The sequence below is a fragment of the Homo sapiens genome, chromosome 18 (genome assembly GCF_000001405.40).
Source record: "Homo sapiens chromosome 18, GRCh38.p14 Primary Assembly".
In the NCBI taxonomy this organism is placed as follows: Eukaryota; Metazoa; Chordata; class Mammalia; order Primates; family Hominidae; genus Homo; species Homo sapiens.
In genome coordinates this window covers 23,787,866-23,801,710 of record NC_000018.10, presented here as the reverse complement: position 1 = coordinate 23,801,710, position 13,845 = coordinate 23,787,866, and the positions used below count along the sequence as shown (strand labels likewise).

At 40.8% G+C, this 13,845-nt stretch overlaps 1 protein-coding gene across 12 annotated transcripts in view; it reads right to left on the bottom strand.

Annotated features, from left to right (window-relative positions):
• The window catches only part of LAMA3 (laminin subunit alpha 3), a 265,614-nt gene that overhangs the window by 153,356 nt on the left and 98,413 nt on the right, over positions 1-13,845 (bottom strand). The window contains exon 13 of one of the 12 annotated variants that reach the window (NR_130106.2): positions 5,558-5,688. The exons of the other annotated variants lie outside the window; for them this stretch is intronic. The gene's annotated coding sequence lies outside the window, so the exon portion shown is untranslated. Of the gene's footprint in view, positions 1-5,557; positions 5,689-13,845 lie in introns of those variants that run through there. 12 annotated transcript variants of the gene reach the window in all.

Below are 13,845 nucleotides of genomic sequence, written 5' to 3'. Positions count from 1 at the left end.
TAGCAAATGCTGGAAAGGATGTGAAGAAAAGGAAACTATTATACATTATTAGTGGGAATGTAAATTGGTACGGCGATTATGGAAAACAGTATGGAGGTTTCTTTAAAAACTAAAAGTAGAACTACCATACAATCTAGCCATCTCACTACTGAGTATCTATCCAAAGAAAAGGGAATTTGTATATGAAAGGGACACCTGTGCCCCCATGGAGGTTTTTAGGCTCTAAAATGCAGGTAACATTTTTTTTCAACTTTTAATTTAGGTTCAGAGGGTACATGTGTAGGTTTGTTAGTTATATGGGTAAACTGAGTGTTGCTGAGGTTTGGTGTATGAAACCAAAAAATCGCCCAGGTACTGAGCATAGTACCTGATAGGTAGTTTTTCAGCCTTCACCCACCTCTCATCCTCCTCCCTCTAGAAGTCCCCAGTGTCCTCCAGTGTCTTTTGTTCTCATCTTTATGTCCATGTGTACTCAATGTTAAGCTCCTACTTATAAGTGAGAACATACGGTATTTGGTTTTTCTACTCCTGTGTTAATTTACTTAGGATAATGGCCTTCAGCTGCATCCATGTCACTGCAAAGGACATGAGTTCATTCTTTTTTATGGCTGCATACTATTCCATGGTGTATAAGTACCATATTTCCTTTATCCAGTTCACTGTCGATGGGCATCTAGATTGATTCCATGTCTTTGTTATTGTGAATAGACCTGTACCCCCATGTTCACTGCAGCATTATTCACAATAATCAAGATATGAAGTCAACCTAAATGCCCATCAACAGATGAATGGATAAAGAAAACGAGGTATATATACACAGGGGAATACTATTCAACCATAAAAATGAATGAAATCCTGTCACTTATGGCAACACGGATGAGCCTGAAGGACATTATGTTAAATGAAATATGTCAGGAACAGAAAGATAAATTCTGCATGTTCTCACTCATATATAGAAGCTTAAAGAATTTGAGTTCATAGAAGTAGAGAACAGCACAGTGTTTAACAGAGGCTCAGAAGTGTAGGAGCGGGGACAGGGAGAGATTGCTTAATGGATATGAAACTACAGCTAAATAAGAATACATTCTAGTGTTCCCTAATACTGCAGGGTGAATGTGGTTAACAATAATTTAGTGTATACTTTCAAAAAACTAGAAGAGAGGATTTTGAATGTTCACAAAACAAAGAAATGAATGTTCGAGGTGATAGATAAGCTAATTACTGACTTGATCATTACACACTGTATCCATGTATGGCAATATCACTCTGTACCCCATAAATATGTACAATTATTATGTGTCAACTAAAAATAAAAGTCATCTTTTGTTTTCTTCCCTCTCTCATCTCCTTATCATTCAACCTAAGATGTATTGACTTAATACCACAGTATTGAAGTTACAGGATATCAAGGGGAAGCTCGAACATCACCCGAGGACTTTATTTCTTCTTCTGGGGAAAGGGTTAGTGTATTTTCGATTGTATACAGGATAGTTGTATCATGTTAGTCAGAATTGTGTCTTGTTATACTCTTTATTGACGATTAAGTACTGTTTCAAGAAATGTATATGAGTGCCAAGTTGGCGAGGCAAGAACTAGTGTTGGGTAATTTTACATGTTAACTTGACTAGGCTACGATGCCCAGATGTTTGGTCAAATGCCAGCCTAAATGTCACTGTGAAGGTGTTTTTTAGATGAGATTAACATTTAAATCAGTAGACTTTGAATAAAGCAGATTATTCTCCATCATGTGGGTGGGCCTCATCCAATCAGCTAAAAGTCTTAAGACAAAAAGGCTAATGTCCCCTGAAGAAGAGGGAGGAATTCTGCCTCCAGACTGTCTTTGGACTTGAGCTGCAGAATCAACTCTTTTCTTGGCCTTCAGTCTGCCAGTCCAACCTACGGATTTCAGACCTGTCAGCCCTCGCAATCGCATGAGCCAATTCCTTAAAATAAATCTCTCTCTCTCTCTCTCCATACGTACACACACACCTCCGATTGGTTCTGTTTCTCTAGAGAACCCTGGCTACTACAGGCTTGTTCTGCTATTTCTGCCCTAAAGGAAAGTCAATGCAGAGGAAAACATCCATGCGGGCATTAGGGTAGCTGCCTGGAGCGCAGTGGTGGCAGCTCCACAGCATAATGTGGGTGACACAGACACTGGCCTTAGGACCACAGGGGTTGTCTGGGGAGCGAGAAGACCCAGTTACTCTTTGGAGGTAAAAACAAAGACTTGAACTTAAAAGCATTTGCAGTGTTTTAAAATTGTGAATTAATCTGGCAACACGCTTCTCATTTCAATCCAACTATTAGTAAAAACTGCCAAATCCCAAACACCAACTCTAGCATTGGCAGCCCTTTTCTCACTCTTGGAAATACTATAAGGCTTTAAAAATATTTCAATTCTGCTCTTTCTTTTGCTCTAGGTCCCTTGGAGTTTCCGGAGTATTTTATTTCTTGTCTACTCCTCATTGTTTCTGCTTTAGGAAACTTACTCTCAAGAAGAATACAAAATAAGGATCACCAAAAAAAGTCTTTGAAATAATGATCACAAAGGTCCTAGAGGACAGGGGCTTGTCTGTCATGCTCTTGAATACCTTCCAGGATTAAATGTAGTCCTGTTCCACAGTACCTGCCAAATAGCTGGTTGTTATATGAGAGCATGAGTAACTATTGAAATCCTTCTTCGGGTCCAGCCCTGCATAATTCTTGATACGTGTTACTTCATTGTATCTTGCAACATTGCTATCAGACAGACATTGCCATGAATAATGCCTTCCTCTTCACCTGCAGTAATAAGCTCATGAGCGAAGCAACACTATATAGATTCTTGTAGATGATGGCCAAACAGAGCTCCTTAGTGCTTGAGGGATGCTCTTATTGCCCATGATCTTGTAGAAAGGCCGATTGGCACCTTGATCTTCAGTCAAAGCCAAAAGCCAGCCATCAGTTCCACAGTACTTATCACTTCTCTGGCACTGGGCTTTGGATGAATTAAATCTACAGAAAATCCTTAGCCTTTTCTGACCAATCACCTCAATGTTCTCTTAAACAAAAATGAATTACAAGGAAGGGCCAGTTCAAGGCAAAACTGCACAAAACTTGGCTTCAGGCTGCTTCCCACTGCCAGCCCAGTGGTCTCTGGTTTTGCCCTGGAAAGGCTGGGAGCTTCTCCCAGGAGCATCACGGCCAAAACCTTCCCTGGCACCATTCCTCGTCAGCAGGGCACTTCTCCTCCCCGGCCGGTGTCTGACTCAGGAGAGTATGTTAACAGGGAGGAGGAGGTTAATCTCTCACTGACAACATATTTATAGGACTTTTCTAAAGAAAGACCGGATACCACAACCCAAAGACTACATCAGACTCTAATGGGGATGGTTCTGGGCCCTGGGTCAGGTCATGTCGGTGGGGTTGGGGGAAGCTGCACTTCCGGGTGCCTTCAGTTCATGTCATGAAAGGACCACCCGTTTCCGCATTCCTGCCTTCCTACCCTCTGTTCCCAGTACTAACTAGCTGCTGCCTAGCAAGCTGCTCCAGAAAAGGAGGGGAAAGGGGAATAGAAAGGAGGAAAAGAGGAAGAGGAAGAGGAAGAAAAAAATGAAGAATAGCGGAAAAAAGGAGGAGACGAAGGCAGGAATGAGGGATGGGGAGGAGAAAGAGGGAAGAGTAAACCCCCTAAATAACCAAATTAACAGTTGTATTCTGTGGTTGAAGATAGAGTCAAAAAACCCACAAACATAAATATATATTTTATATACATATAGACAGTTCTCAAATCTGATCTCATATATATAATTTGATTAATTCCCCAAGAAAGAAAACCATAGGGCACTTCAGTGAGTCAAAGTCAAAATGAAAAAAATACTGCATTGTACTTAGGAAAGTCTGGAGTAAATTAATTTAATGCAAAACATAAATCCAGGACTACAGTTGGCAAAAGCAGCTTAGAAGGGTTTTAAAATTCTCTTTAAAGAAGATTTTGAATTTTTTTTTTTTTTTGAGACGGAGTCTCGCTCTGTTGCCCAGGCTGAAGTGCAGTGGTGCGATCTTGGCTCACTGCAACCTCTGCCTCCCGGGATCATGCAATTCTTGTGCCTCAGCCTCCCGAGTAGCTGGGATTACAGGCATGTGCCACCACGCCCAGCTAATTTTTGTATTGTTTAGTAGAGACGGGGTTTTACCACATTGGCCAGGCTGGTCTAGAACTCCTGACCTCAGGTGGTGCACCAAACTTGGCCTCCCAAAGTGCTGGGATCACAGGCATGAGCCATCACACCTGGCCAGATTTTGAAAGTTTTTAAAGCAAGAAAGAGCAAAGCAGTAAGAACACTTTTTGGCTAGAATATACTGGGTCAGCTGATACACCATTGTGGGCCATGGTGATTGGTTGTAAATTTCAGTGGGTCAAGTAATCAATTCCCTCTAAAAAAAAAAATCACAATAGCTATCAGAAAAAAAGGTAGTTACAAGACAAGGAAGGCCATCACAGACAAAATGTTGCATCCTCCCAAACTCTTACCAGAATGGTTCAAACCCAAAACAACAAACTGCAAGGTACACCTCAACAGCACACGAGGCAGTGAATTTCTTGCACAGCTCAGAAAACAGCTCTTAAGCATGGGCAGGCTTCTCCAAGGCTGGATGTGTATGTATTAGTCCTTCACTTGAGCCACGACTTTAGACCACAGAGAATCCAGCAGAGGCTGACCCCAGACCTTCACCCACCGGGGCCAGAAGCATGCCTGCTGGTGTCCTCCAGTCCCTCTCTGAGAGGCTTGATAGTCTTTTCCCTCTCATGCTTCCGGTGAGGTCAGAAGAGTTTGGTAGACCTTTAGAAGCAGAGGTCCAAATCAACTCTACCAAAAATATCAATGAGGCCAGGCATGGTGGCTCATGCCTATAATCCCAGCACTTTGGGAGCAGAGGTGGGGGAATCGCTTGAGCTCAGGAGTTAAAGATCAGCCTGGGCAATATAATGAGATCCCATCTAAAAATTTTAAAAATTAAAAAAAAATCAATGGGAAGATAAACACTTATTTTTAAAAGGGAGTCCTGGCTCCAACCATTTAAAATAAGAGATAAGACATTATATTCATGTACTGCAGCTGATTAAAGAGCTTTTTATGTCAGATGTCAGTTTCTTAAGGAAAAGAATGCTACAGTTAGACCTCACAGGGTTTCCCAATCTTTCTTAGGATTGGTCACTTTGGGGAACTATGTTTTCTCAAAGAGCTGAGGATTTTACTGACACATAGTTTTGCCACCCTGTCTTGGCTATGGCACCTTGATTTTACCATGGGGGTACCTCTCTTCCCTTGCTCCATTCATGCTGTTCAGATGGTGTTGACCCCACTTCTAGTTCTGTGGATATGGGGGAAGACTCAGGTTTGGCCAGTCAGAGCACTGAATTCCACGGCCACAGGACTAATTCCAGAACTGGCATGTGGTCCAATCAGAACCAGATGTGTCCTGGTGGAAAGTATACTCTTTTCCTAGTCTTGAACCTAGAAGGATACGTATTAGTCACCTTGAGCTGCCATAACAAAATACCATAGACTGGTGGGCTTAAACAATAGAAATTTATTTCTCCAGTTCTGGAGGCTGGGAAGTCCAAGATCCAGGTGCTGGCTGGTTCAGTTTCTGCTGAGGGCCTGCTTTCTGGCTTGTAGATGGCCACCTTTTCACTGGGTCCTCACATGGTAGAGGGAGAGAGAGAGAGTGAACGAGCTATCTTGTGTCTCTTCTTATAAAGACATGAGTCCTATCAGATCAGGGCTCCACCCTTATGACCTCATTAAACCTTAATTACTTCCTTACTCCAAATACAGTCACACTGGGGGTTAGGGCTTCAACATATGAATTTTTAGGGACACAATTCAGTCCATAATAATGTGTGTCTAAGAGCTGCTGGCTGCCATTTTACTATCATCTGAGGCCTAAGAACGAAGCCAATATACAAGATAGCAGAGTTTATAGATTAAAAAAAATATATATATTTTAAGCCCCTAGATCAAGCTATTCCTGAAACCAAATATGCCCGGACTTTTCTATTACTGCCAAGAAGTTATTTTTGCCTTAAACAGTTTAGGTCTAGTTTTCTGTCACGTGAAATTGTAAGGAGTCATAACTGACTCTCTAACCACCAAACTATTAACTATTAGTTAACTATTTCATCTAGTACTCATTTTAACTATTAACATTTTCACTATTTAATCTCATACTCTTACTCAAATGTATTTTATACTTTCCTTCCCAATGAAGCAGGTATATTAGACATAATTTAACTCTTTTTCATGATCTACAGCTATCACTATAAATGCCCATTTACTTAATCTAATAGTGATACCCTCAGTATCTTCAGAATTGGGTTAGCTTGTTTGCCCTTCATTCAGTGGCCCCAGGCTGCTATACATCTTAAGTTTCATATCTGCCTGTCTGTTTTCTCCCTTGCTATGAATGTTTCGCCTCAGTAATCTTTTCCCTGTCTTCTAATTTTATGTTTCTAATTTGCCATGCAATTGGCTTGCAAAACAAATAACTAAATTTAAAACAATTATTTTTAAAAAAGGGAGGAGGAGACTAGGCTGAGAGTGGGCCTATGGGATTCCTTCTGTGTGCATCTTTGGAGCTGCGCTTTTCCACTTGACAGAGGTTGTGGGGGTGGGGACCTAACTGCTTGGTTTTTACCTTTGCTCCAGATACATGGCCACATAACCAAATTCTAACTGGATGGAATAATACTCTGCTGAAGGTCAAAGAATTATAACATACATTTAAAGATATGGTTTTTTGTGAAAATAATGTCGAGAGTTTGTGGTTTTTTAAGAAATCTACGTTTATATAAGCAGAATATTAAAAATAATAGAATTCCCTAGAAACAAATCAAAATCATGGAGTCCCTTTAAGGAAGCCATGGTAAATGAAGCCACATGGAGATGCAACTGACTGTTAGACAATTAGTGTATTCAACAAGCACAACTCCTGCTGTCAACTAACTCCCACGGCCCTTTTCAATTTCACGTAGTGTGGGTGACTGTCTCCCTGCACCTAGATGAAAACTCTAGGAGTTGCAGGGTTTGTCAGCACACTCTTAGGTAAGAGAACAGAAAGTAAGTAGAAATCCAGTTTAAAGTCGAATCTCCTGTCCTCCAGCTCAGACCTGATTCAGGCCAAAATCCCACAGTAGGCAGGAAAGGTGGAGAGGTGAGTGGTAGGAGTGGGCTGGGGGTGGGAGTGGGCATTCTTTCCCCACAGCTGGCTTCAACTTGGTGGGGGAGGAAGAAGAGGGAAGAGGAAAGAACTGTTGTGGTATCATGATATATAGCGGTTTTCGCCCACAGTTTCTGGCTAGTAACTCCCATAGTCCTTGTTACAGTCTTTTGTTATAAGGTTGGGTGTGTTAGGCCTTGGGACAGGCCTCTGACCTTTTCCTGCCCTCTTTTAACCTGCCCCAAGGCAGGACTCTAATCTTCCCCCACCTTTGTGATTGTGGGTCTTAAGACTCTCCCCAGAGAGGGTCAAGTCTATACCCTGGAGGAAGGAATGCTGATGTCAGGAAGCTTCCTTAAAAACCCAGGAGGACAAGGTTCAGAGAGCTTCCAGATAGCTGAACATGTGGGGAGGTTCCTGGAGGGTGGGGCCCAGGGAGGGCATGGAAGCTCCCAGTCTCTTCCCCCATATCTCGTCTTATGTGTATCTTCATCTGTATCTTTGCAACATCTTTTATAATAAACCAGTAAATGTAATTTGGTGTTCTCCTGAGTTCTGTGAGCCACTCCAGCAAATTAACTGAATCCAAAGGAGGTTTGCGGGAACCCCAACCTGAAGCCGCTTCGTCAGAAGTTCCAGAGGCCCAGGCTTGCAACTGATGGTGAGGGAAGGAGGGAGCAGTCTTGGGGACTGAGCCCTCAACCTGTGGGATCTGGCACTGTCTTTAGGTAAGCAGTGTCAGAATTGAATTGGAGGACACTTGGCTGGTGGCTGCTGCTTGGTGATGGGAAGAGACCCCCACACATTTGGTCACAGACGTTTTCTTCTGTGTTGATGGTTGTTGTGGTATGAGAGTAGAGGAAAAACACAGTTAGAGGAAAGAGTTTTTCCCCACACAATTGTTCTTGGACCAGCCCTATGCTAATCTCAAACTGGCTCTTCTTCCAAGGATGCTGTCTAGGGCCTCTTGGTGGTCGTCTGCTGAGCACCTCTCTCCTGCCATTCCCTTGTCCCCCAGGGATGCAAGCCTCTCCATTTCTGTTGCTTGTGACTCTCTCCTCAGCCCACAACTGCTTCAGCCCCTGGGCTTTGGATTCACCATTTCTTTTATTTTCTGTTTCTGATGCTTTGACATCTTGGGGCCTTGCTGACCCTGGAGGGACTGCCCCTCCCAGGGTAAGCCAATTCCCAGAGATAGTAAACAACCCTCCAGAGAGCTGCTTTTGGAATGCACACCGACCAGTCCAGAGCATGGCCCCACCACCTCCTCTACCAGCTCTCACACTCTGGTATTCCCTGCCCTAATCACCCCAGGGCCAGGTACCAGACAACTAGGGGTAGCCCCTATGTCCCAGCACCCACTGAAATATTCAAACTAGCCAATCCTAAACCTGCTTATCCCTGCCCATTCCTTAATGTGGAAGTGCTCTGTCTACAGTTCCTTCCCTTCCCTCTGCCTCCAAACCGACCCTGATGCTTCTCCATGTGGCCCCTACAGCATGACCTGCCCCTCCTCTGGGAACTGTATCTTCTCAATAGCAGTTGTCTCCCGGTCTGCTGTCCTTACTGAACCCCAAATTTCCTATTAATACACTCTATTATAAAACAGGCATCTGGACAAATACTTCAGCTGCTTTGGGTGGGATCTCCTGATGTCTCTGAGCAGACCTATCGGGCAGGAACCAAGACACTCACCTGGATTCCCCCATATTTGGCTGTGGGAAACACCTACACATCCCTTGCCCCAGTACACTAAGTACAGGCCATTCCCAATGCGGCAATACTCTCCCTGCTCTGCCTCAAGCAAAAAAGCATCCAGCTCTTAGCCTTTGGGTTTCCAAGCCAAAATCTGGCCACAAGCACCTCTGCCCCTCCCGAGGCTTCCCATATGCTATGGTTTGGATGTGGTTTGTCTTGCCAAAATTCATGTTAAAGTTTCATTGCCAGTGCAGCAGTGTTGGGAGATGAGGCCTAGTGGAGGTGTTTGGGTCATGGGGGTGGATTCCTCATGAGTAGATTAATGCCCTCGGATTAGTTACCGTGAGAGTGGGTTGTTATAAAAGTGAATCTGGCTTCCTGGACTCTCTCTCTTGCATCCTGTCTCATCGTGTGATCTCTGCACATGCTCACTTACTGCTCCACTTCACCATGTTTTGCCCCAGTATGTGGCCCTCACCAGAAGCCAGCCAGATGTGGCGCTATGCTCTTGAAGTTCCCAGCCCGCAGAATTGTGAACTAAATAAACGTCTTTTCTTTATAAACTACCCAATCTCAGGTATTCTGTTATAGCAATACCAAATGGACTAAGACACATCAGAGGTCCCTCATGTGTTTTGAGGCGAGGAAGAAGGGTAAGGAGTTCACGGCAACAGTTTCCTCCATAGATATCCACCCCCTCCCAGATTATCTCTCCTCCACTCTCCTAACATTTTCATAATCCTTTGAGTGTGAGAGTCGAAAGTGTCATAAAATAGGCCTCTGGACATTTATTTTGAAAATCTGCACATGGTGACTTGGCCTTGGAATTTTGTATATATCATTGTTCAGGGACAATACTTCAATGTTAACATTTTCAAAAAGAGTGATATGGGTGGTTTTTAAATATTTTCCTTGTATTTACTTCTAAATTCAAGAAGTTTTCTTTACCACTCACATGAAGAATGTCAGATGATTTTCATTTGAAAGTGTGACTCTAATGAAAGGCAGATTGTCATACACATTTGTTTGGTTTTTTGGGGGGTTTTGTGGTTTTTTTTTTTTTTTTTTTTTTAGACAAATTCTCAGTCTGTGATGTTCAGGCTGGAGTCCAGTGGTGCGATCTCAGCTCACTGCAAACTCTGCCTCTCAGATTCAAGCGATTTTCCCACCTCAGCCTCCCAAGAAGCTGGAAATACAGGCATGCACCACGATGCCTGGCTAATTTTTGTATTTTTTTAGTAGAGACAGGGTTTCACCATGTTGGCCAGGCTTGTCTTGAACTCCTGACCTCAAGTGATCCACCCACCTTGGCCTCCCAAAGTGCTGGGATGACAGGCATGAGCCACTATGTCTGGCCTATCATACACATTTGTGAAATCCCAATTATCTATCATTTTTCCCCCCACAAAAGATCCCAAGCTCAACCTATTAATCAAAGCCAAGCATCTTTAAAAAGTAACTGTATCTGCTGCTTACATTTCTAGGTAGCTTGCTGGTAAGGTCAGACTGAAGTCTCCACACTCTGAGTTATGTAAAGATTATAGGACTTTGAAATTTATACTGTCCTTTCTCTTTGCAGGGTTTAAGGAAGAATAGTAAAGACAATATCATGGATTAAAGATAAAACAGGAAGCCAGGCGCGATGGTTCACACCTGTAATGCCAGCACTTTGGGAGGCTGAGGCGGGCGGATCACGAGGTCAGGAGATTGAGACCACGGTGAAACCCCGTCTCTACTAAAAACACAAAAAATTAGCCGGGCGCAGTGGCGGGCGCCTGTAGTACCAGCTACTGGAGAGGCTGAGACAGGAGAATGGCGTGAACCCAGGAGGCGGAGCTTGCAGTGAACCGAGATCGCGCCACTGCACTCCAGCCTGGGTGACAGAGCGAGACTCTGTCTTAAAAAAAAAAAAAAAGATAAAATAGGATATGCATCTCAAACTAGTTCTTCATGTTTATCTCTTTGGTCCTTGCTCTTTATAGATAATGGTAAAAAATAAGACAGAGTGCTTTCTTGCCCTTCAAACAGGGTTGGGAAGGAATTATGCAGTGTATACTGGCACAGGAATATCTTCATGGGGAAAATGGATTCATCAGATTATTGCTGCAATTTACTGAGCAACAGTTTCTAGCTGAATGAGAGTAAATTCACCCAAATGTTCTATGACTTCAGGTTATAACTATTTGAAAGTCCGAAGCCGCAAGAGCAAAGAGCAGAATAAAAGAAAAGTGACAAACTACTCAGAAAAGAAAAGTGGCAAACTACTTCCCATACTCAGAAGCACAGATAAAATCCTTCAGGATCTTTTAGCACAGCAGTTTCCAAACTTTTTGGCCATGTTCACAGTAAAAAATACATTTTACATTATAACCCAATAAACACACACACACTAATAGATGATAGAGATATCTAGCAAAACATAAATAACTATGAACAAGAACTTTGCAAGAGATTTATTTTCTCTACACTTATGATGCATTCTAATAATTTCTAGTCTATCCTATTTCATTGTAATGCTGGCCCATACCCTCTAAATTGATTTCTCTATCCACTAATGGACAATGAACTGCAGTATGAAAAGCTCAGCCTTAGAAGAATAGCCCTCATGCTTCTTGATGTCCTAGATCACTAGGTGATGAAGGGGTTTAAAGAATACAATAGAATTCCTGCTGTATACCAGGCTGAGAGTAAAGAAATGTGGGTGCTACTCACCACCCTGCAACTATCTACTCCCTACGTATTCTCCTGGGTCTCAGAATGGTTGCTGTAAAATAAGTACTTGTGATTTCAATTCCTTTTAACTCTAAAATTCAAATGCACATTATGTGATCATCACTATAAAAACATAAGAGAGATGAGCGTCAAATTTACAGAGATAAGGCTGACAAGTGTCTGGGGAGGAATAACCCTTCTTTAGTGTGTTGGGATTCCACCTCCCACCTCTGCCTTATTTTTTCAAACAAGTTTATTGAGATAAAATTCATATACCATACAATTCACTCATTTGAAGTGTAAAGTGTGCAACTTAATGTTGTTTAATATATTCACAGAGTTGTGCAACTTTTGGAACAATCTAATTTTAGAACATTTTCGTTCCCCCTAAAAGAAATCCCATATTCATTAACAAGTCAATCCACATTGTCCACTACCTTCACTCCCAACCACAAATCTGCTTTCAATCTCTATAAATTTTCCTATCCTGGACATTTCATATAAATGAATCACACAATATGTGACTTTTGTGACTGACTTCTTTCATTTAGCGTAATGTTTTCAAGGTTTATTCATGTGGTAGCATGCATAAGTACTTCGTTCCTTTTTATTGCTAAATAATATTCTATTGTATGGCTATCCCACATTTTATCTATTCATCAGTTGATGAGCATATGGGTTGTTTCCCCATTTTGGCTATTTTGAATAATGCTGTTATGGACATTCATACACAAGTTACTGCGTGGATGTGTTTTCATTTCTTTTGGATATACACTGAAGAATAGATCTGTTGGGTAGCATGGTAACTTTATGTTTAACTTTTTCAGGAATAGCAAAACTATTTCCAAAGTCACTGTACTATTTCACATTCCCACCATCAATGTATGAGGGTTCAAATTTCTCTACATCCTTGCCAACGCTTGTTATTGCCTGCCTTTCTAGTGGATATAAAATGGTATTTCATTGTGGTTTAGATTTGCATTTACCAAATGACTGGTAATGTTGAGCATCTGTTCATATACCAGTTGGCCATTTGTATATCTTCTTGGAAGATAATGTCTATTCAAATCCTTTACTCATTTTCAGGTTGCCTTTTTAATTATTTTTAATTTTTAAGTATTGAGTTGTAAAAATAATATATCCATATATATGGATTATTTTATAATAATATATCCAGATTTTATATATTATATATATGTGTGTATATGATACTAGTGCCTTATCAGATATATGATTTGCAATATCTTTTTCCATTCTATGATTTATCTTTTCACTTTTTTGATAGTGCCCTTTCGAGTGCAAGAGTTTTTAACTTTGATGAAATCCAATTTATCTATTTTTTCTTTTGCTACTTGTGCTTTTGTTGTCATATCTAAGAAACAGTTGCCTAATTTATGGTTATGAAGATTTATGCCTATATTTTATTCTAAGAGATTTATAGTTTTAGCTCTTACGTTTAGTTTCTTCATACATTTTGTACTAATTTTTGTTTATAGTATGAGGTTGAATCCACTCATGTTTAATGTTATTATTGATAGTGTTGGATTTACCTTGGCCCTTTTGCATTTTATTTTCTGTATATCTCATGTATTTTTTGTTCCTCTATTCCCCCTTTATTGTTTTCTTCTGTATTAGATATTTTCTAGTGTAATTTTTACTCTGTTTCATGACTTTTTAATCATTTTTGAGTTACTATGTTAGTGGTTGCTCTAGGGCTTACAAAAAGAAATCTACATTAGTATCATATTGATTTAGTTCCAGTAAAATAGAGAAATTTTACTCTTATTTAGTTCTATTCCCTCTCCACCATTTTTGTACTATTGTTATTATACATATTATGTCTCTCTATATTAAAATCCAGCAATACATTTTTATAATTATTAATTTATATAATCTATGTTTTCTAAGGAAGATAATAGAAGAAAGGAGATCAAGCATATATTTATAGAGTGTCTTTATAAACTCTATTTATCCTTTCTAGTTCTCTTTATTTCTTCCTATAGATTTGGTGTCATTTTCTTACTCCAATACAGCTTTGTTCTCACCTATCTCCTTTGTGCTACTGTCAAACATATTACATTTTTATATGATATAGGCCCCATATTTATGTATGTATGTATGTATTTGTATATACAGTTCGTATACTTTCTGTTAAAATCAGTCAAGAGAAGAATGTATAAAAATATTCAATTATACTCTCTTTTGTAATTTTTACATGTTATTCAAATT